Genomic DNA, 21,315 nt, shown 5'->3' on the forward strand with positions numbered 1-21,315 from the left:
ATGAAATCATAAAAGACCCATCATAGTCAAAGCTATCCTGAGCAGAAAGAACAGAACAAAGGGAATCACATTACCTGGCTTCAAATTATACTACAAAACTATAGTAACAAAACAGCATGGTTCTGGCATAAAAACAAACATATAAACCAATGAAACAGAATAGAGAATCCAGAAACAAATCCAGACATCTACAGTGAACTCATTTTTCACAAAGTTGCCAAGAACATACACTGGAGAAAGAACAGTCTCTTCAACAAATGGTGCTGGAAAAACTGTATATCCATGTGCAAAAGAATAAAACTAGACCCCTACCTCTCACCACATACAAAAATTAAATCAAAATGGATTAAAGATTTAAACTTAAGACCTCAAACTATAAAACTGCTAAAAGAAAACATTGGGGAAACGCTCTAGGAAATTGGAGTGGGAGTAGATTTCTTGAGTAGTGCCCCACAAACACAGACAACCAAAGCAAAGACAGAAAAATGAGATCATATCAAGTTAAAAAGCTTCTGCATTGCAAAGGAAAGAATCAGAAAAGTGAAGCGACAACCCACTGAAGGGAGAAAATACTTGCAAACTATCTATCTGACAAGGGATTCATAACCAGAATGTGTAAGAAGCTCAAATAACTTTTTGGAAGAAAATCTAATAATCCGATTAAAAAATGGGCAAAACACCCAAATAGACATCTCTCAATAGAATACATATAAATGGCAAACAGGTATAAGAAAAGGTGCTCAACACCATTGATTATCAGAGAAATGCAAATCAAAAAACTACAGTGAAATATCATCTCATCTCATTTAAAATGACTTATATCCAAAAGACAGGAAAAAAAAAATGCTAGTGAGGATGTTGAGAAAGGGGAATCCTTATACGCTGTTGGTGGGAATGTAAATTAGCTCAACCACTATAAATAAATAACAGTGTGAAGGTACCTCAAAAACCTAAAAATAGAGCTATCATATGATCCAGCAATTGCACTGTTAGGTTATATACTTAAAAGAGAGAAAATCAGTACATTGAAGATATCTGCACTTCTATGTTTATTGCAGCACTGTTCACAATAGCCAAGATTTGGAAGCAACTTAAGTGTCCATCAACAGCTGAACGGATAAAGAAAATGTGGTACATATACACAATAGAGTAGCATCCGGCCATAAAAAAAGAATGAGACCCAGTCATCTGCAACAACATGGATGGAACTGGAGGTCATTATGTTAAGTGAAATAAGCCAGGCACTGACAGAAAAACTTCACATGTTCTCACTTATTTGTAGGGGCTAAAAATTACAATAATTGAACTCATAGAAATACAGAGAAGAAGGATGGTTACCAGAAGCTGGGAAGGGTAGTGGGAGGTTAGAGGGGAAGTGGTAATGGTGAATGGGTACAAAAATATAGTCAGATAGAATGAATAAGGTCTAGTATTTGATAGCACAACAGGGTTCCTACCGTCAACAATAATTTATTGTACATGTAAAATTAGCTAAGAGTATAACTGGATTGTTTGCAACACAAAGTATACAAGCTTGAGGAGATGGATACTCCATTTAGCCTGATGTGATTATTACACATTGCATGCCTGTATCAAAATATTTCACATAACCCATAAATATATATACCTACTACATACCTGCATAAATTAAAAATTAAAATTTTTTGAAATGTAAAAAAACAAATTTTCTATAATAAAAAATAATGAAAGTTTCTTGTAAATTTTCCAGTGCTATAAATCACAAATACCCAAACCTGTTTCTGCTTTCAGAAACATAACAAAATAATCCTCTGATTCTTCAGGGTTCTTCAAGCTATTGCCACTTTCCTTTCTTTCCCTTCATAGGAAAAGCTTGTGACAAATAAACTGATGTCTTTGTCTGATTTCAGGGACTGATTTCACTTTTTCACTCTGCACTTCACTATATTCTGGCTTTTAAAATAAATCTCTATGGAATTAGTCCACTCCCAAAATCCCAATTCCCTCCCAAGTTGTTCCATTTAGCTATGAAGAATTCCTATAAGAAGCCACAGCTGACTCCAGAATTCACATTAGAAAGCCTGGGCTGCTGGTATCTATTCTTGGCCCAAATCCTAAACTACTTCAACAGAGCAAACTTACTCCTCTCTAGACTCTCCAAGCACCTTATTTTGCTTTTAGTGCCATTCCTTTATTGTCTTATCCTCTATATTTAACACATGGACTTGTTATTTCAGACATGCCTTCCTTTCTCCCATGTTCATACCTCCTGATACCAAGATGTCATCCCCAGAACATCTCAGGTAATGCTGTTCCCAACTCAACCAAGCCCAGGGACTCAGTGAGTTGTAGCCCCACTCCCAGCAGGTGGCAGCCCACTACCTCACTTACTTCTGCTTTTGGGACAGGCACCCAGGTGAACCAGTAGCCATTTTTCCATCTCTATCTTACCTAGCCCCTGCTCTATATTAAATATGGTTGACCGCCCCGTTTCTTAAATGTGCCACTTTCTTGTTTCTCTAACACCATCCTCCTGGGAATTGTCACTATCACCCTAGCCCTCCAACTCAATCTCCTTTTTAGATACATTATTTGATCAACTCCTGTAAAATATTGATGTTACTTTAGATTTTCTTCTCAGCCCTCCCTCTTCCTTCACCCTTGGCTGCACATTGGAATCGCATGGGAGCTTCTACAAATAAACAATGTGTGCTCTACCTTCAACGATTACCATTTAACTGGATGCGGGAAAGGGGTGGATATCCAGGTATTCGATTTTTTTTTTTCTCTGAGACGCAGTTTCGCTCTTGTTGCCCAGGCTGGAGTGCAATGGCGTGATCTTGGCTTACCGCAACCTCTGCCTCCCAGGTTCAAGCGATTCTCCCGGATTACAGGCAAGCGTCAGCATGCCCGGCTAATTATTTGTATTTTTAGTAGAGATGGGGTTTCTCCATGTTGGTCAGGCTGGTGTCAAACTCCTGACCTCTGGTGATCCACCCACCCCGGCTTCCCAAAATGCTGGGATTACAGGCGTGAACCACTGCGCCCGGCCGGTATTAGGAACTTTTTAAATCTCCCTTGGTATTTCGATGTGTAGTCCTGGTTGAGAACCTCAGGTATAAACAACCCCCAGGCCTCATTGAGGCTGTCTTGGAAACACGTGAGAAGCACATTCCTCCTTATCATCCCTCACTGCTGTGGCTTTCTTCAGGCCTGGGTCATTATCACATAAATCACCACAGTATCCTCCTAACTCATTTCTCTCCTCCAGGGTACACTCCACACAGCTTCCAAAGTGAGCTTTCTACAACGTCAAGTTTGATTTTGATAATTTAAAGGCCATCAATGTCTCTCTCTTCCAAATTATCACTGGAAAGCACATGAGGCTCTGTGCACGCTGCTCTCCAGCTATTCCAGATGAGACGCTTGGTCGCGGGGTCAACTCACCACACCCTGTGGAGGCCCCAAGCTTTGTGCATGACATTTCCACTGCCTGGCACAACTATCTCCCCGACCCTTCCCTCTTACCCCATGAGTTTTTTTTTCCTCATTTGTGCATATATATGCCTTTTGTTATCTTAGAAGTAATGGTTAAATGGTAAAATGATATCAACAGACATTTGGGGAATACCCACTAGGAGCAAATATCCTCTAGCTCTGCTATCCACAGGGTCTGGCTGCACTTTCATCTTCATATCTTAGACTTATAACTACTGGTAATCATGATGGTGAAATGCTTTAGAGATTACAAAGTGCTCATTTGATCATCAAAACCACCTTTTAAGAGACTAAATGAATAGATGTTCAAGGCTTCTTAAAATTGAATATTGTATATAATATATCAAATATATAGTCAACATATAATAGGAAGTATGTTGGGGAAGGAGAAAAACTGTGAGGGGTATCCTCAGGAATATTGATGAGTGTCCTTCAATAGTTAAAGATGTATGAAGCAGAGTTACAGTTTTAAACAGTACAGCTGATATGCACACAAAATTAGTTGATTTCTTGATGCTTGATCTAATATTTTTTATGAGCCCCACTCAGTATTTTGTTTATCAAAGGCAGAATATCCTCTCTTTGTACTCCTGCTATAATAATCCTAATGCTATCCGCAGCAAATGGATGTGTTTTGTAGAATAGGTGGAAGGTCTTATCTACAGATAGGCAACAGAAGAGTATTAATATAGTTCCAAAATATTAACCCTTTACATTTATAAACAAAGTACAACAGTTCAGAACAGTGTTATGCAAAATCATCATAAAAAATCATAAGTGGCTTCCAGGGCCGAGCCTTGACAGAGGTGTTAAAACACCAACAGGGAATGTGTAAATCAAAAGGAAATTGGTGAGTAATGGAAGCCCAGGCAGTCAATGAAGGCATCATAAAATCTGACTTGGCAGGGCTGGGTAAGCTCTGCCTGAGGAAAGAGTAATGTAGGCTGATGACACTCAACACTTGAATGACATCCTACTCCTAATTGTTGAGGATTAGCAAGCAACTTTCTGTTTACAACTTCGCTTCTTGTGTCTTTTATTCCTAGAAAGAGAAAACTGGTCATTCCAATATGACTACTGTAATCCACATAACAATCACAGCTCACCAAATAAATAACAAAACTGTCATGGTGTATATATCAGTCTCTTTCATATTGGTGAATAAATTCCCACCCCTGGGGAAAGGAAATCCTTGGTGAGTTAATCAAATGATGTCTTGTGCCTGTATGGCTGAGGGCCAGATGTGGGACTTGGGTGAATTTGCAAAGATAAAAACTGCTTTGTGAAGTACGTACCCTCTTCTGAGAATAAGACGTTTCTCTATCTTCCTTCCCTACAGCTAACTTGGAGTCATAAGTCAAATGATTAAATTCCATACCATTTTAGATGCCTAGTTAGATAATGCTCATTCCAATGAATTTATAATAAAACAAGAGACAGTCCCTAAATAACAAAATAGCAATGACAGATAACATGTGCTTCCCTCTTTCATTATCATAGGAATTCATATGTGGAAACATTCATACATTCCAAAGCCGAGAATAACACTGTGTTTATGGAGAAATTCATCTCCTTGGAAAGTATCGTTCTTATCTGGTTTGAAGACAAAAAAAGACATACCGTAGGCCCCTAACAACCACTAGTTCATTGTTGTAATATAATTGTTATGTAACAACTGGTTGCTCTGGTGAGAATTTATACCCAAGTAACTTTATGAAATTCATAGATTTGGGACAGAAAGATAACAAAAATAACAACCAAAGAAAGCAATGACTAGTATCCTCTTAAAACTTAATCTTTACAGTATCCCTGTGAGGAAGTCATCAAAGAGAATATGCCCAGTAGAGCCATCACAGAGGCCGACCCACTCAACTACATTAACTGGTGTCATGAGTTTCACACTCTAACACACATGTGCCCAGCCTTACCAAGAGTGGAGCCTGAATTCAACAGATCAACTGCCAAAGGGCTGGAAGAAGGGTTTTTCCTTCAAAACATCAAGATCTAATTTATGTATTGTACAATAGTAAATACATTTTACTAGTGAGAGTCCTCCCATATGTCATCAGTTTTAATTTTATTTCATTTTCAAAGTCTGAGTATTTACTTTTAATCGGGGTATCAATATCATTCATAATTTCAATTTCTCCCCTCCTGGCAAGTCAATGAAATGCATGAAGTTGTGAATAGTCCACATCATGGACTATGATTGCTGATTCATTCTTATCATGACAATCAAAGCACCGGAAATGAAACCGAAGAAATAAAAGCTGGTTTCTAGGAGATTCATTTAAATTGTTTAGTTGAGTTAAACATCGTGGGCAACCAAGTGGTTTATCCTTAACTTTTAAAGAGATTCAGAACAGTTACGTTTTCTCTAATCTGGCTTGGAAATGCGAGGGGTGGAGGGGTAGTCAGGAGGGGTGGCATTCACAGTAAAGAGCGGGGAGTCACTTGGTTAACTTTTCTTGTCACACTGCTGTGGGGCCAGCCTGTGTCTTACCAGAAATTCTGAGTGCCTCTTCCTACGATTAAGTGAACATTTAATGACTGACTCTTAAAGAACTTTTACCAACCAAAAGACTGATTTGAAAATAGAAACTATACATTATTTTAAACAATTGAGATGTTAAGTTTAATAATGTTAATAGATGAATGCAATGTTAATCAAAAGCTGAACCTGTGGGCTTTCCAACAAAGAAATGTTAAACAAATAACAATACACTGGAGTTATTTGTTTTAACTTTTAATTTTTTGTTTTCTTAAAAGAATAAGAAAATGTTAAAAGCAGTTTGGAGTGATGAAAATGTATAATAATACCAAAAATAATTCACTCAGGATGACAAGTGGTGCCTACTCATAGATCAAATGTGTGAGTGGCCCACAGAAAACTTAAGCTTCCGATAGGCATCTATTTTTCATTTGAAAATAAAGGTTAAAATTGCAGGCGTATTTGGGGAGAAAATAACGCTGGCAGCTATAAAATGTTATTAAATAATTTATATCAAGGCTATTCCAACACTGGTAGGTGGATTTACAATCTTTTAAAACCACTAGAATTTGGGAATTTGAAAGCAAAAAATGAACAAACGAGGAAAAATAATCTTCTGGTGTCTAAAATATGATCTGGCAGTTTGTAATGAGTTCATGTTCCAAGCAAAGCATCAGCCAGCTTGAAATGTCAATCAATATTTTATGATGTTGTCATTATTTTTCACAGGGGCCCAAGAAACCCTGCTGACCCAGGTGTGGATTAATTACATCTAGTCAGCTTCAACAGCTTCCTTAACTGTCATCCTTTCCTTTTGCCTCTTTCCTGTTACACCTGCAACTTTTAGTTCGCCTCTCAATTTAGACTTATGCCCTTCACACGTTATATTTGCTCTTCAAAGAGAGGTCCCAACCTATTGCTTCAGATGTCTTGACATGTACACCTACCTGGATATTTATGGATACCACATGCTTATATTATTTCCAGAAGTATCTATAGGCTTTTTTATGTGTAATATTTAATAAAGGAATTTTCAGAGTAAGTTCTATTAAAAAGATAAAAGCTAAATTTAATTAAGTAATTCCAAACATAAGGGAACTAAGAACAACTCTGACAAGAGGTCAGGAAAACACAGTAAGAATATCAGATTGAAGGCTCCCCATCCACTTATTCATTAGCTTTTCTAACTGAATCTTTAATGGGAGGGCCCTCCTTTAGAGGTCAGAAGGAATTTGGTCCTCACTGTCTTCTGCCCTGTCATTTCATCTCAGACCAGGTTCCACTTAACCATGTTTATTCCAATATCAAGAACAGGCATTGAACTAAAAAATGTATAACTGAATGCGCAATGGCACTCTTGTAGTATAATCCGTACTCTTAAGCATTTTGTCAAAACAGGTACAATATATGAAAAACTTGAAGGGACACTCACCTGCCTCACAATTTTCAGTCACGAGCCCTTTATACAGGTGGTGGCTGAAGGAAATCTTTACATCTTCTCCTTCCATGTGAATGACCAAGAGACCCGTGGTTGTCCTGGCTGGAATGCCCTGGTCTGTAACTTTTAACTGCAGCCAGATAGGGAAGTATTCTGAAGATGGATTTTGCTGAAATTGAATTTCTCCTGTGTATTTATCAATAGAAAACATTGACTGGGTCTCTGCAAAACTAAAAACCACAGTTCCATTGGGCCCCAAGTCCAGGTCATCAGCTCTCACAATGACAGTTGTCTGGTTTGTAGGCGACTCGGGGGAAAGAAACACATCAAAAGGGTTCTGTTCCAAAACTGGATCATTGTCATTAACATCAGTGACATATACTTTTATAATTACAGTGGTGCTTCGTGAACCCTGGATGCTACAGTCTCTGGCCACAGCACTAAATGTATGCTGAGATCTGGCTTCACGGTCGAGGGTGTTGCTGGTTTTCAATGTGCCTGACATAGGATCAATGGTGAATGCACCAGAAGCCTCATCAGTCAGAAAATACTCAGTTTGCCCATTCAGGCCTTCATCCTTGTCCACAGCTGAAAGCACAAGAACCACTGTTCCCACTTCAGCATCTTCTCTCACAGAGGACTGGTAATAAAGTGTGGGAAAAGAAGGACTGTGGTCATTGGCATCCAAAACTCTAACTTGCAGGTGTATTACAGAGCTCCTAGGTGGATCTCCCAGGTCAGAGCACAGAATGACAAGGGTAAAATTGCTGATTTGCTCCCGGTCCAAAGCACGAGTGGTTGAGAGTTCTCCTGACATCTCATTTATAGTAAAGCACTCATCAGTATTTCCATCTATTAAAGAAAACAATTACAAATTCATTTGAATTGAAAAAGTAGCAGCTCTTTGCTAGCACTATCTATGGTATTCATTTATACATTCATTAAAAATATATTTATTCCCGATTATATTGTATCCTAGCACTTTTGTAAATATTGGGGATATAACAGTAAGCATGATAAAGGCTCTGCCCTCATGAAACTTCTATTGAGGGGATAAACAGAATAATATGATTCAATGCCTATCTTTAATCAGTCAATAATTAGAACACTTGCTTTCACTAATTTGCAGCCGTATGATTTTTTGTGTGCATCTACAACTTTTAATTTTAATATATTTTTCCTCATAAGAGGATGAAGATATATGTTTTATTTAACACAAAACAATAGATGAGGATAAAAAAAACAGAATATAATGTCCTTTTTTAAGATATCAATCAGAAATGAACAGATTTGATTTGTAGTTATTTTCTCAAATAGTACCCACTACAGTATTCATGCCTGTTATACTATTGCAGTAAGCCTTCTCTTCTACATGTCCACAGCATTTTGTACAAGAATCATAACACTTTGGTTAGAGTTAGTTGGACACTTGACTATTTCTTCCAAAACATAAATAAGGACATTGTTCTATTCATCTATTCCTTAAAAAAAATCTGCCCTTTATTATATTCCATCGTATCAAGTAGAATAAAACTTAAAATTGAACACAGGGACAAAAAGCTTTCAAAGACATTTTTAAATAACCCTGAAAATTAGTGAAGAAAAATGTGGTTCATATGCTTGCCAGCCATATTCTTGGATGAAGAGCAGGCCCAATAGTGTGGGAACTTACTAGAGTCTGCATATCAGAGGCATATGAGGACCAAGTGGAATGGCATTCAAAGGAAACAACAGCAATAGGTAGCTTTAGGGAGGAGGAGAGGGCCCTGCATTTGTATTCATGAGGAACAGTTAATTTACACCAAAAGTAGAGATGATTGGACAAACCCACATTTCTGTAGTATTTGTGGCTGATAAAGTGATTCAGTCATTCAGCAAACATTTGATGAGCATCTACTATGTGCCAAGTTTGTGCTCAAGATCACAGATATGAAGGGAGTAAGACATGACCTAGCTCCAAGAGTTCACAGTCTAAAAGGAAAGGCTGGTCAATACTCGGGTATTAAAGTACCATGTGAAAATCATATGTACAGAGTGCTAAATGAGTACATATAGATAGTGCTAGCCAAGGGGTGCTATTTCTCTGAGAAGTACAGAGAAAGGGCACATAGTCCTATGTTAGTAAGTTCAAGAAATGCTTATTGGAAAAAGTGACATCAAATCTCACTCCTAAAGTGGAGAAAGCCATACTACAAGTTTTGGGGAGAGTGTTCTATGCAGAGGAAAGAGCCCGTGGGAAGTTCTAGGAATATAAGAATTAACAGGCTGCAAATGTTTGGGTGTGACTAGTACACAGGGTTCCTGGGTGTTTGTATGTGGCAAGTAGGAAAAGGGCTGGCAGTAGCGGTAGAGGAAAGACATGAATTTGGGAGGTAAGCAGGGGGTCAAATTGTGAAGGGCTCTCTGTATACTGCTGAAGATTCTATAGTTTCTCCTGAAATCCATGAGGGAGCCCCCTGAAGGATTTTGGACAGGAAAGTGTCATGAATCAAATTTCTATTTTAAGAATAGTATCGAGGCAGCAATGTCAAAGTTTGTTTAGAAAATAGGATGGTTCCTGTAATCCCAGAACTTTTGGAGACCAAGGCGGGAGGATTGCTTGAGTCCAGGAATTTGAGTCCAGCCTGGGCAACATAGTGAGACCTCATCTCTACAAAAAAAAAAAAAAAAAAGTTTTTAAGTTATTCAGGCATGGTGACATGTGCCTGTATTCCCCGCTGCTCAGGAGGCTGGGGTGGGAGAATTGCTTGAGCCTGACAGGGGGTACAGGCTGCAGTGAGCTGTGATTGTGCTGCTGCGGTGAGCTGTGAATGCACCACTGCACAGCCTTGGTGACAGATCGAGAGCCTGTCTTTAAAAAAAAAGAAAAGAAAATGAAAATGGGAAGGTTAGGAGTCATAGTAATCTACTTGCGCAACAAGGGGTATCTGAAACAATATTTGCGTGCAGGAAGTGAACACATTGCAAAGATATTAAGGAGAAAAAATAAGTTATGGAGAAAGGATTCATGATCCGGCTTAGGCGAATAAGTGAAGGGTGTTTAGACCAGTCAATCATCTTTAAAATGAGGGCTGAGTACAGCTAGGTTACTTGAAGTTTTCTAAGGAATTCACTTGGAAACAGGTAGTTCTGTGGTAATCTCCAGAAGTTCAATTTAAATATCCTTATTCCTAAAATTGCTCTACCTGAGAGCTCACCTGGGATCATGGAATTTATCTTTCCCACATTCACCTTTATAAGCACTCTTCTTGCAAATTAAAAAAGAAAGTCTCCCTCTCACCCAAATAAATGGCTGCCAAATAAAGTGGTCATTCCCAATGTTGAAAGTTCAATGTCAAAACAGTGACTGATTTTAATGCCTGGGAAGATATCCTTATGCAGTGGGAGAGTGTCTCTGCTATCAACCAAATTATAGAGCCTATTCAAGTTTTCAAGTGGTAGATAAAGAAAAAATAAAGACTATTCATTAACTTTTTGGCATATAACTCAGAAGGCATACAAGTACTAAATTAACTTCTGTAACAATACTTCCATTTTTAAAAAGGTGAGCAAGGATTTTCAGTTCTTACATCTGTAACAAAGAGAAACAGCAACAGACTTGGCACTGTGCTTTGCCTTTTGCCTTATTTTTATTTATTTATTTATTTATTTTTATTTTTATTTTTTGAGACAGAGTTTCGTTCTTGTTGCCCAGGCTGGAGTGCAATGGCGCAATCTCAGCTCACCTCAACCTCTGCCTACCGGGTTCAAGCGATTCTCCTGCCTCAGCCTCCCGAGTAGCTGGGATTACAGGCATGTGCCACTGGCTAATTTTGTATTTTTAGTAGAGACGAGGTTTCTCCATGTTGGTCAGGCTGGTCTCAAATTAACTCCAGACCTCAGGTGATCTGCCCACCTTGGCATCCCAAAGTGGTGGGATTACAGGCGTGAGCCACTGCACCCAGCTGCTTTGCCTTATTTTAGCAAAAAGGAACATGCATTCCGAGAATCATGAACTCACTGGAAAAAAGGAACCCATTAATCTGATTCAGAGATGCATTTACAACACAATTTTACTTTTTATGTTATTATTGGTCAAAATTGGAATACACTTTTGCTATTTTAATCTTACAATCATAATAATAACAATCTAATATAATTTTCAAAACTGAGACCTTATGTTCATTGGAAATTTTTAGAAGTCTTAAATTTATCCACATATTTTAATTGTAGAAAAGTATAATAAAATGATCAATATTTTAAGCATAAAAGTCCATTACGTTATGGTAAAATTCTGCAAGGATGTAGAAAGGTAATATTGATTGAAGAAGTAAAAATGCAAAACATATAACTGAAAATGCTCATTCATACATATAATTGAAAAAAACTTAAGTAAAATTCTACATTTTTATTAACTTAAAAAAATCATATTTCAAACAGTAGAGTCTGTGAGCTATGAAAATTTACAATTCACTTGGCATTCCCAGCGCCTTGCGCTCCCTGTGACTGCGCTGTGCAGGCGTCTTGGTTTGTGCAGGGTGGTTCTCATCCTTGCCAGCATCCCCTTCCCCTTTCTCCCCTTACACACCTCACTCCCTTCTTTGCCGAGTTGTGGGGGCTGTTTTAGGCCTGGCTTTTGTTTTTGGAAGGGCAGGTTTAGCAGACAACCCTGCCTATCTCCTGTGTGGCTCCTCTATCACCTTTGCTGTGTCACCTTTTTAGCCGATTTCCTGGGCATGGTGGCTTGGCAGGCAGCTTTGCCAATCCAAGGTATGCTCTCTGCTCCTGGAAAGATTTCTGAGTCCCACAGCCATCCGAGGGCTACGGAGCTCCCAGTTTCCAACCTGGCTGAGAAGGTGGCCTCAGCTTGGGCAGAACAGGTGGAGACTTTGGGACCATGAAGAGACATGCAGAGCCAGGAAAGAGGAAGGTGACACAAGGGGAGGATGCCTTTCATATATATATACTTATATATATTTCATATATATATACTTATATATATACACACATATATGAAATATATATACGTGTATATATACACACATATGAAATATATATACGTGTATATATACACACATATATATGAAATAGATATACGTATACACACACACACACACACACACACACACACACCCACACACACACATATTTTTTTTTTTTTTTGAGACAAAGTCTCACTCTTTTCCCCCAGGAGGGAGTGCAATGGCACAATCTCAGCTCACTGCAACCTCTGCCTCCTAAGTTCAAGTGATTCTCCTGCCTCAGTCTCCCAAGTAGCTGGGATTACAGGTGCCTGCCACCACACCCAGCTAATTTTTGTATTTTTAGTAGAGGTGGGGTTTCACCATGTTGGCCAGGCTGGTCTCGAACTCCTGACCTCAGGTGATCCGCCCACGTTGGCCTCCCAAAGTGCTGGGATGACAGCCATGACCCACCGTACCTGGACACCTTTCATATATTTTTAAGGTTTTTTTATTCTATCAAATACTTTTAAAAGGTGATTGATATAACAGTCTTATTTTAATGTGTCAATATTTAGGATATGCTGGGAAACACACCTTTGTTACTCTTTAAAAAAAGTTTAGTTGACAACATAAAAATATGTCTGCGTACATAAGTTTTCAAGATTATTTTAAGGGTAAGTGAAGCAAAAAAAAAAAAAAAAAAAAGCTGAAGATCACTGGCAGAGACTAGCAGAAGGACCCAGACCATGATGGGGGAGGTAGAAAGGGGGTGAGGCTGATGTGTCATTTTGGACACACTGATAATGCAATGCTGTTGGATATAAAGACTGGGTCCTTGGGGCTGTTAGGAAATTGTGAAATAATTTGAAATAGGAGGAACAAGGTTAGTAGGTGTCCTGGTATTGAAGAAAGAAGGGTGGGGCACAGGTGTCCAGTGTGTCTTTGCCATCAGAATGTTCTTCCACCTTCACCGCATTTTGACCACTCTGTAAATTGTTGAAAACTGATAATAATGTAAATGATTCTTATCCACAGAAATGCAAGTAAATCTGGTGAAATGCACTGATTGTTGTCTTGCAAATACACCTTTTCTGCATTTCAGAATTCCTTATTCCCTTTGTGTGTGTATGTGCCTGTGTATGGCTCTTGGAATTCTCCTTGAACCCATTTTAACATCTTTTTGGTTTACTTATTCATTAGTGAATTAAATAAAAGTTATTCGCAGGTACCATTTTTATATTTGTATGAGAGTTATTACTTTACTTTTAAAAACAATATCCTTTAACGGGACCTAGATCTAGGATGCAGATGGAGATGGGAGCCATTGGCATCCCAGTGGTAGCTAAAGACAGAGACTGGATGAAATGACCCAGTAAGAATCTGTCTATGAGACAAGAAAAATTAAAAAAAATTAAAACTGATCACATGAAAGCAACAAAAATAGAAAAACACTATCTTTTCCATCCTTACATCCACTAATGTTAGCATAGAAAAAAATTCACAGCAGTTTGCAAAGGCAGATTTTTAAAGAATGTGGAGAGCAGTGGTTCAAGGTGGCTGTGAGAAGGAGGTAGAGAGAAAGCTCATGGCACCAGTCAGTTCTGACTGGGTGTGTATTTTGTAGAGAAAAGCAACAGGTATCAAACACAGAGTAATCAACAGAGAGTGTGTGTCAACTCAGTCAGCATCCTGGAATAAATTTTAATTTAAAAATACTTACCAATTTGGGAGGCTGAGGCACAAGAATTGCTTGAACCTGGGAGGTGAAGTTGCAGTGAGCCATCGCGCCACTGCACTCCAGCCTGGGTGACAGAGTGAGACTCTGTCTTAAAAAAACAAACAAACAAACAAACAAACAAACAAACTTACCAATTATGTGATATTCAACAGCTCTGTTATTGCCAGCATCCATATCAGAGGCTAAAACCGTATAGACAACCTCTGGTTCCTGGTTTTCCAGAACCTCAATGTCATAACTGGAAACAATAAACTCTGGTGCGTGATCGTTTTCATCTTCAACAGTGCAGAGGATTGTTGTGGTGCTGGACAATGAAGGGAATCCCCCATCTCGTACTAGTACTGACACAGAACACAAAGACGGTATGAATTGTGGCCTTTGATTCATACCTAAAATATGTTGTTCTAACTAGACAATGTCAGGCTAACCAGGTAGCACTGGCTCAATAATATTTTATTTAAAAACACCCCAACAAAATATAACATTTCACCACTTAACAGGTTTTTTTTAAATTTAATTTTTAATTTTTATTTTTTAGCCTACTCAAAGAATCCCTTACCTCGAAGGGTGAAGACTTCTTGAATTTCTCTGTCAAGTATGGTGGTTGTCACTACCTCTCCAGTGTCAGAATTTATCTCGAATAATTCAAATGAAGCACCTGGCATGATTTCAAACTGAAGCTTGGAATTGACTCCTTAAGAAAAATATAAAGAAAAACTTAGCAATCATTTCTTTGAAATACATTTATCCACTTTCCTATTTCTTTTCCTTTGAACATGTTAGGCCATAGATGAAAATGGCAAGATTCTCAAACAGCCTTTAAATTAAGGTAAAAGAAAACCTCTTTTGGCTGTTCTTGCTAAAATAAAAGCCTCATGGGCTGAAATGCTTGATTTTCAAAAGTCTTATGAGACTTCCCCACAGTGAATGCTTAGAATTTTTTCCTTCCCATAAAAAATTTCTTATGAGTGTGCAACTCTACAACATATTCCTAATTACTCCTTCTAACACCTCTGATTGTGATTTAATGACTTAATTGTAAGCTTGCAGGGCAAATGACAATTTCTGTAGATTGACCTGCTGTTTAAAAGCCCGTGCTAAGTTATAGAACTCTGTTTATTCTCAACCTCAAGAAGCGAGCACCTAGAATTGCTTATACACGTATTTCTGTTTGTTTTGTTTTCGACTTAGTGTTCAGTCTGCTATCTGGAGTGAGAAATGTGGTACCACATTATTATGCATTTTGGAAATAATTCTTCCCATATTTTTGTGGTTTCATTTCTCCCCTGAGAAAAGTATCACGTCATTTCCATCTCTGGTTATGAAGATCATTCATACTACTAATTTTAATGAGTCTGTCCCATGCCATTGTAATTTATTGCATTTTACACAAGTTCCTCTCAGTTATTTTCCTATGTTCCTTTCTTAACTGACAAGAATCTAGGTGTACACACAGTACTGAGAATATATGATGTTATACTTTAATAAAAGACGAAATGTCATTCTTTTGGCCTTAACAAAAAATCTTCAATTACAAATTTCCATCTTGCCAGTCTTAAAAAGTAAATTTTCATTACATTATGATCTGGCAGATATTATATAGGACTGAGAGCTGAAAGGAGTGAAATAGAATTCTAGTTTTATATAAGAATGAAAATACATATCATATTACTATATAACTTGGAGGAGAAATATATTTGAGATATAATCTGCAGGCATTGGAATGACCCTGAGAAAAAAAGTCTAATAACATAGGACCAATGTATTTGATATGACATGGTCAGAGGTCACCAAAATGTTTCATTCTATTATTAGGCATTACGTATATTATTAATGATATTACTAAAGAGTCATAGTGATTATTTCAGTAACTTAAGGATCATATAATCTATTCTATAGCAAGACAGAATTTCTTAAAGTTCCAGGTTGTTAAAATTTGTTATTCCTATCTCTGCCTACATTATAAAAATGGGAACAATATTATCTTATATTTACTTTCCTTTTCCTCAAAAAAAAGAGAGAAATATCAGGTGCCAAGCATAGTACTATGTGCCAAAGACAGAGTGCTGAGTCAGATATGACCTCTGTCTTCAAAAAGATTACATGGATCTTTTAAATGAATGAGCTCATTTATATGATTTTGTTACACATTATATATACACCATTTCATATTATTTTATATGATTTTCTTACACATTATATATACCATTGCATATTATGTATTGTATTACATATTATAGAATGCTATATATTATACATTTTTAATTCTCACCACTTGCCAAACCTAGAAAATGTCTTCAATTGTTTACACATAAATTCAGATCTTTCTGCTGTCCCTTCCCATTATCCTCTAATGTGCTTCACCACTCTACTCAATATTTCTCTGACTTTTTAGAAACTTCCAGATTTTATTTTGTTCTATTATTCTATACAGGTTTTTTATCCCTAAGATAACAATACATTAACCTTCAACCCTCCTAGTATATTATTAAGGATAAATAAGATCTTTACCTATAACTGTAGTCTGCATACACACATTTTTCATACCCCAAACTTCATACCCTTTACAAATTAGGAAGTAAATTAAATGTATTTTACTATGGCTTATTTGGAATTTAACTAGTGCCTTGCACCTTACACCCTTACACCCTTATAATCCTACAGAACAAACATAGCATCATCAAACTTGAGAATTAAGAAAATAAAAATTAAAAAGAGGTTATTTGGCCTCATTCTATCACCTCACTGAGCAAATTGGAAATTTGGATCTGAAGATATTTAGTGATATCCTTATGACACATGCCCACTAAAAGATATGTGTGTGTGTGTGCCTGTGTATATATGCCCATACCTATGTGTGTATGCACACCAGTGTGAATACACACATACACAGATGTGCGCGCGCACACACACACACACACACACACATATCTACCTTCTCTTAGACTTCAAGACCTGCAGTCCCATGACTTCTTAATCCTCCGGCTCTAGGATACCTCTCCTCAATTCATTTCTCTCCTTCTCCAGTCCGGCCCCATGAGCTATTCCTCTAGCAACCTTGCATAGTTTCTCAGGTCCTGGGGCTTTCTGCCAAAGATTTCCAGCAAAGCTTCAGCCTGGGATCATTCCAACCATCTCTTTACTCCATTTGAATATCCAACAGATGGCTGGGGCTACAGAAAATTTCACAACAGCATGGATTGAGACAACTGCAGTGCTGTTGTATCTGGCAATCTTTCCAGGTGTCCATAATCACCCCTCTTCCATTCAGGTCTCCTACCCGACCACTACCTGGCTTACTCTCACAGATCACTTCCCTTTCCATTTCCCAGAGAGAAAGGAGGCATTGGGAAAGAACTCCCTCACCCTCTGCACCTGTACTCAACTGTACCCCTTACTCCCTGTCTCAATGGCAAAAGTCATTCTTCAAACACACTCTCAGAATTTTCCTGTCAGGTCTAGTCTTTCTCCTAAAATTTTTTTCCTTAAATTATATCCTTCTCTAGCTATAAGAAGAATTAGGCTTTTATCTCCTCCTCTTTGTGGCCAAATTTCTTTTGAAAATCATATTCAGTCTGCAGCTAGCTTCAAACCATGCCATTGCCAGTTACTCTTTCTACAGTGACCAATGACCTTCTGATTATAAAGTCTACTGGCCATTTCTAGTTCTTACCTAACTTGTCTTCTCTGTGGCATCATATATGGCTGACCAATTTAAAAAAAAAAAACAAAAAACAAAGAAACAAAAGAAGGGAGGGGAGGAAGGCATGAGGAAGAGAGAAGTAAAAAATAAAAGAAAAATAATATTTTTGTCTGTTTCTCTATGACATATTTTTCTCCTGGTTCCAGGAGTGGGGTGCATTGACAATCAATGTGCTGGCCATCACGCCATTGTCATCTCACTCTATACATTCATGTCTTCAGTTTGCATCCATATCTATTTGGTTGGTTCATTCATTTATTCATTCATGTGTTCATTTATGAATGCACAGATACTGAATGTCAGGTACTGGAAAGGCACCACTGAATAGTTACCTTGGACCTCAGAGTTTCTCTCTAGAGTGGAAGATGATTAAATCAACGAGTAATGGAAAGTGTGATGGAATATATGAAATCACTGAGGGAGTGGATCATAGAAGACTTATCTCAGGTATATAGTTTGTCATTAATTATCTCATTGTATTAACATATATAAAGAGTGATCTTAGGTGCCAAGATACCATACCATGTGCTAAAAATATAACTGCTAGTAAACAGACAAATTCTCTACCCTCATGGTGCTTACAATATAGCACCGGATACAGATAAGCAAGCTCGCAGTGACAATTCCCCCTGAATAGACATGATGGGTAAGTTGAGTTGCCTTGATATAACCGGAAACCCTAAAGATGAATAGGAGTTAATGGGTAAGAGGGAAGAAAGAACATTTGAATGAGTTCAAAAGAAAATCTAAATACCTTACCACAGTCCACAAAGTCCCATATGATGTGGGCTCTGCATATCTTTCCAACCTCTTTTCATGGACTTGCTCCCTTGCTATATTCTTATCGCACTGGCTTCCTTTCTGTTCTCTGAACATACTAAGCATCTTTCTGCTGAGGCCTTTGTAGTGGTTGTTCCCTCTGCCTGCTCTTTTCAGTTCTTCACATGGTGTATTATTTATTAAACCATAGTGTCTCAGATCCAAATCTGTTCTTCTGTACTCCACCCTGTGATGCTGGGTCTGGGGATCTGCAAACTACATTCCCCATTGCCAACTACCTCTCTCCTAGGGTTTGCCACAAAAGGACACTAGAAGGAGACCAAAAGTCAGAAGGACAGAAAATGGGACTTCCTTCTTCCTAGTTACCTACTGTCGTCATCAGCAATGCTATTCAGTCTGTTTTGCTACTCCTTTGCAAGGCCCCCTCTCTCATTTCCTTCCCAGGGTCTGATAATCCAAACATCTTCTTCTTTCCCAGTATTAGGGGTGGTAGCTGCCTTCTAGAGCTTTGTTTTTGTCTTTTTGGTTACTTCAGTATTCCCTTCTTGCTTACTCATTCATCCAACACCTGTTTGTAGCATCTATTCTTCCTGACTAAACATGGCTGATAGAGCACTTGGCACCAGAATTGGGTCTCAGGTAACAGGGACTCTGAGATTGGTTTGGTTATGTCTTAGGCTTTGAATGCAGCTATGAGTTCCTTAACCATGGGAAATGGAATGCTAGGAATTCAATACTTGGAGTGCTGTCACGATTAATTAAATTATCAATCATGTTTGACTGTGATAAAGTGACTATTAAAGGACTCAAATTCCTTAGAGAACCAAATGGCGCTGACTTTGACCACATAATAGTAAAAAGGACTATGATGCAGAAGACTGTTTTTCAAAGGACTAGGAAATTATAGAACGATAACTATGAGCTGAGGCTTTAAACCTGTAACTCAAGTCATGGTTAGAAAGCTGGAAAGCTCCTATATAGAAGGCCTAAAATTAACCTCCCTGAAGATCAGACCCAAATTGAGTGGCAGGTATAATAAATACCTTGTAAGGAGATGACTATTCATGTAAATACCCATAACCAGAGTCAGATTTCAACATAACTCAGGTAGCCAAGTGCAAATCTGACTCAGTCAAAGAAGCTTATAGTTTCAAAGAATAATAATATTTTCTAAGTTATATTGGCATAAACCTGGGGAATATGTGTGGAAATCAGTTCTAAGAATGTGAGACCTAGGAAGATATAACATTGGTTTAGGCTGGATTTATTGATAGATAAATAGACAATATTGATACTGTTTGCTAGAGAGTCAGAATTTAATGTGTTAGCCCATAGAGCTGTGTCTCTTGAGAGTTTCTTTGATTGGTTGGATTCAATGGGAGCCTATAATCACTGAGGTTGAGACATTAGGTCTTCTTTTGAATACTATAAATAATCCAAAGCTTAAGGAAATGAGAATGTTAGAGTGAACTTATCATGTATGACATGCTCACCAAACACTCCCACTACCTTTCCCAAGAGATCAGAGGACCCTACCTTCATAAGTACACTGGGAAAGATATTAGAAGGCCATCAGCATCCTTGAAAAGCAGAATGGGTGCTGTTTTCTGTAGACTGGGGATGGATCATGGTGCCAATGGTCCCAGGGACCACCTTTTGAGAAGCAACATTTGATACTAATTTATAAGAACTATCAGAACTCATTGGCTTTCACCCATCTTTATGCAAACTCTCCCACTGTTGACATCATCTAGTTGGTAGAGATATTATGATGACATCATGATAATTGGATCTGATGAGCAGAAAGTAGCAAGTAACTTAGATGTCTTAATTAGACACATGCATTAGACTAGGGATTGGCAAACTACAGTCCAGTGATCAAATCTGGCCTGCTCCCTGTTTTTGTAAAGTTTTATTGAAATACACACAATATTAACTATGGCTGCTGTCTTGCTATAGTGTCAGAGTTGCACAAAGGAGACCGTAAAGCACACAAAGCCTAAAATATTTACTATCTGGTCCTTTAAAGGAAAAAGTTTTCCAGAATTCTATCCTAGAGTAAAAGGTGGGAGAGTGCTAGGAGCTGAGAACAGACAGGAAAGCTGATTGTTAAGCTAAAAGGGATAAAATTTTATCCTCCTCTTCCTCAAACTATGGGGATTTAATAAAGAATTCTTTCCAGGGGTGTGTTATTTTTAGGAAGATCATTTTTCTTTTCTTTTCTTTTTTTAAGACAGCATCTCACTCTGCCACCCAGGCTGGAGTGTGCAGAGGCACAGTCGTGGCTCACGGCAGCAAATTCCTGGGCTCAAGCCATCCTTCTACTTCAGCTTCCTGAGTAGCTGAGACTACAGGAGCATGCCACCATACCCAACAAATTTTTATATTTTTTTTTGTAAAGGTGAGGTCTTGCTATGTTGCCCAAGCTGGTCTTGAACTCCTGGCTTCAAGCAATCCTCCCACCTCGGCCTTCCAAAGCACTAGTATTACAGGCATGAGCCACCGTGCCCAGCCAAGATTCTTGTTTGTATAATGCCTCGACTGTACAATGTCCTCACAATCAGGCATTTCTAAAGCAAAAATAGAATTATGCCTGGTTGATTGAATAAAGGAATAAATAATAAATAAATTCTAAACAGTGAGGGCAGCTTGAGGAAGCTTATGTCATACATGCTTCAGTTTCTCAGACCATATGGTCAAAAATATTTATTGAGTTCCTATGTCATATCTTGCACTACTCTAAGA

General features: G+C 38.1%; 1 protein-coding gene and 1 long non-coding RNA gene across 2 annotated transcripts in view; one reads left to right on the forward strand and one right to left on the reverse strand.

Moving 5' to 3' along the window:
- Positions 1–8,369, forward strand: part of LOC101927947 (uncharacterized) — a 469,997-nt gene extending 461,628 nt beyond the window's left edge. The window contains exon 15 of the long non-coding RNA XR_007058336.1: positions 7,803–8,369. This is a non-coding gene — a long non-coding RNA (uncharacterized LOC101927947). The remainder of the gene's footprint in view (positions 1–7,802) is intronic.
- Positions 1–21,315, reverse strand: part of DCHS2 (dachsous cadherin-related 2) — a 260,058-nt gene that overhangs the window by 58,709 nt on the left and 180,034 nt on the right. The window contains exons 11-13 of the mRNA NM_001358235.2: positions 14,647–14,781; positions 14,219–14,428; positions 7,401–8,258 (exon numbers count right to left, since the gene is read on the reverse strand). Coding sequence (NP_001345164.1) covers positions 7,401–8,258; positions 14,219–14,428; positions 14,647–14,781 — 1,203 coding nt within the window. The remainder of the gene's footprint in view (positions 1–7,400; positions 8,259–14,218; positions 14,429–14,646; positions 14,782–21,315) is intronic.

Source organism: Homo sapiens, chromosome 4 (genome assembly GCF_000001405.40).
Source record: "Homo sapiens chromosome 4, GRCh38.p14 Primary Assembly".
Classification (NCBI taxonomy): Eukaryota; Metazoa; Chordata; class Mammalia; order Primates; family Hominidae; genus Homo; species Homo sapiens.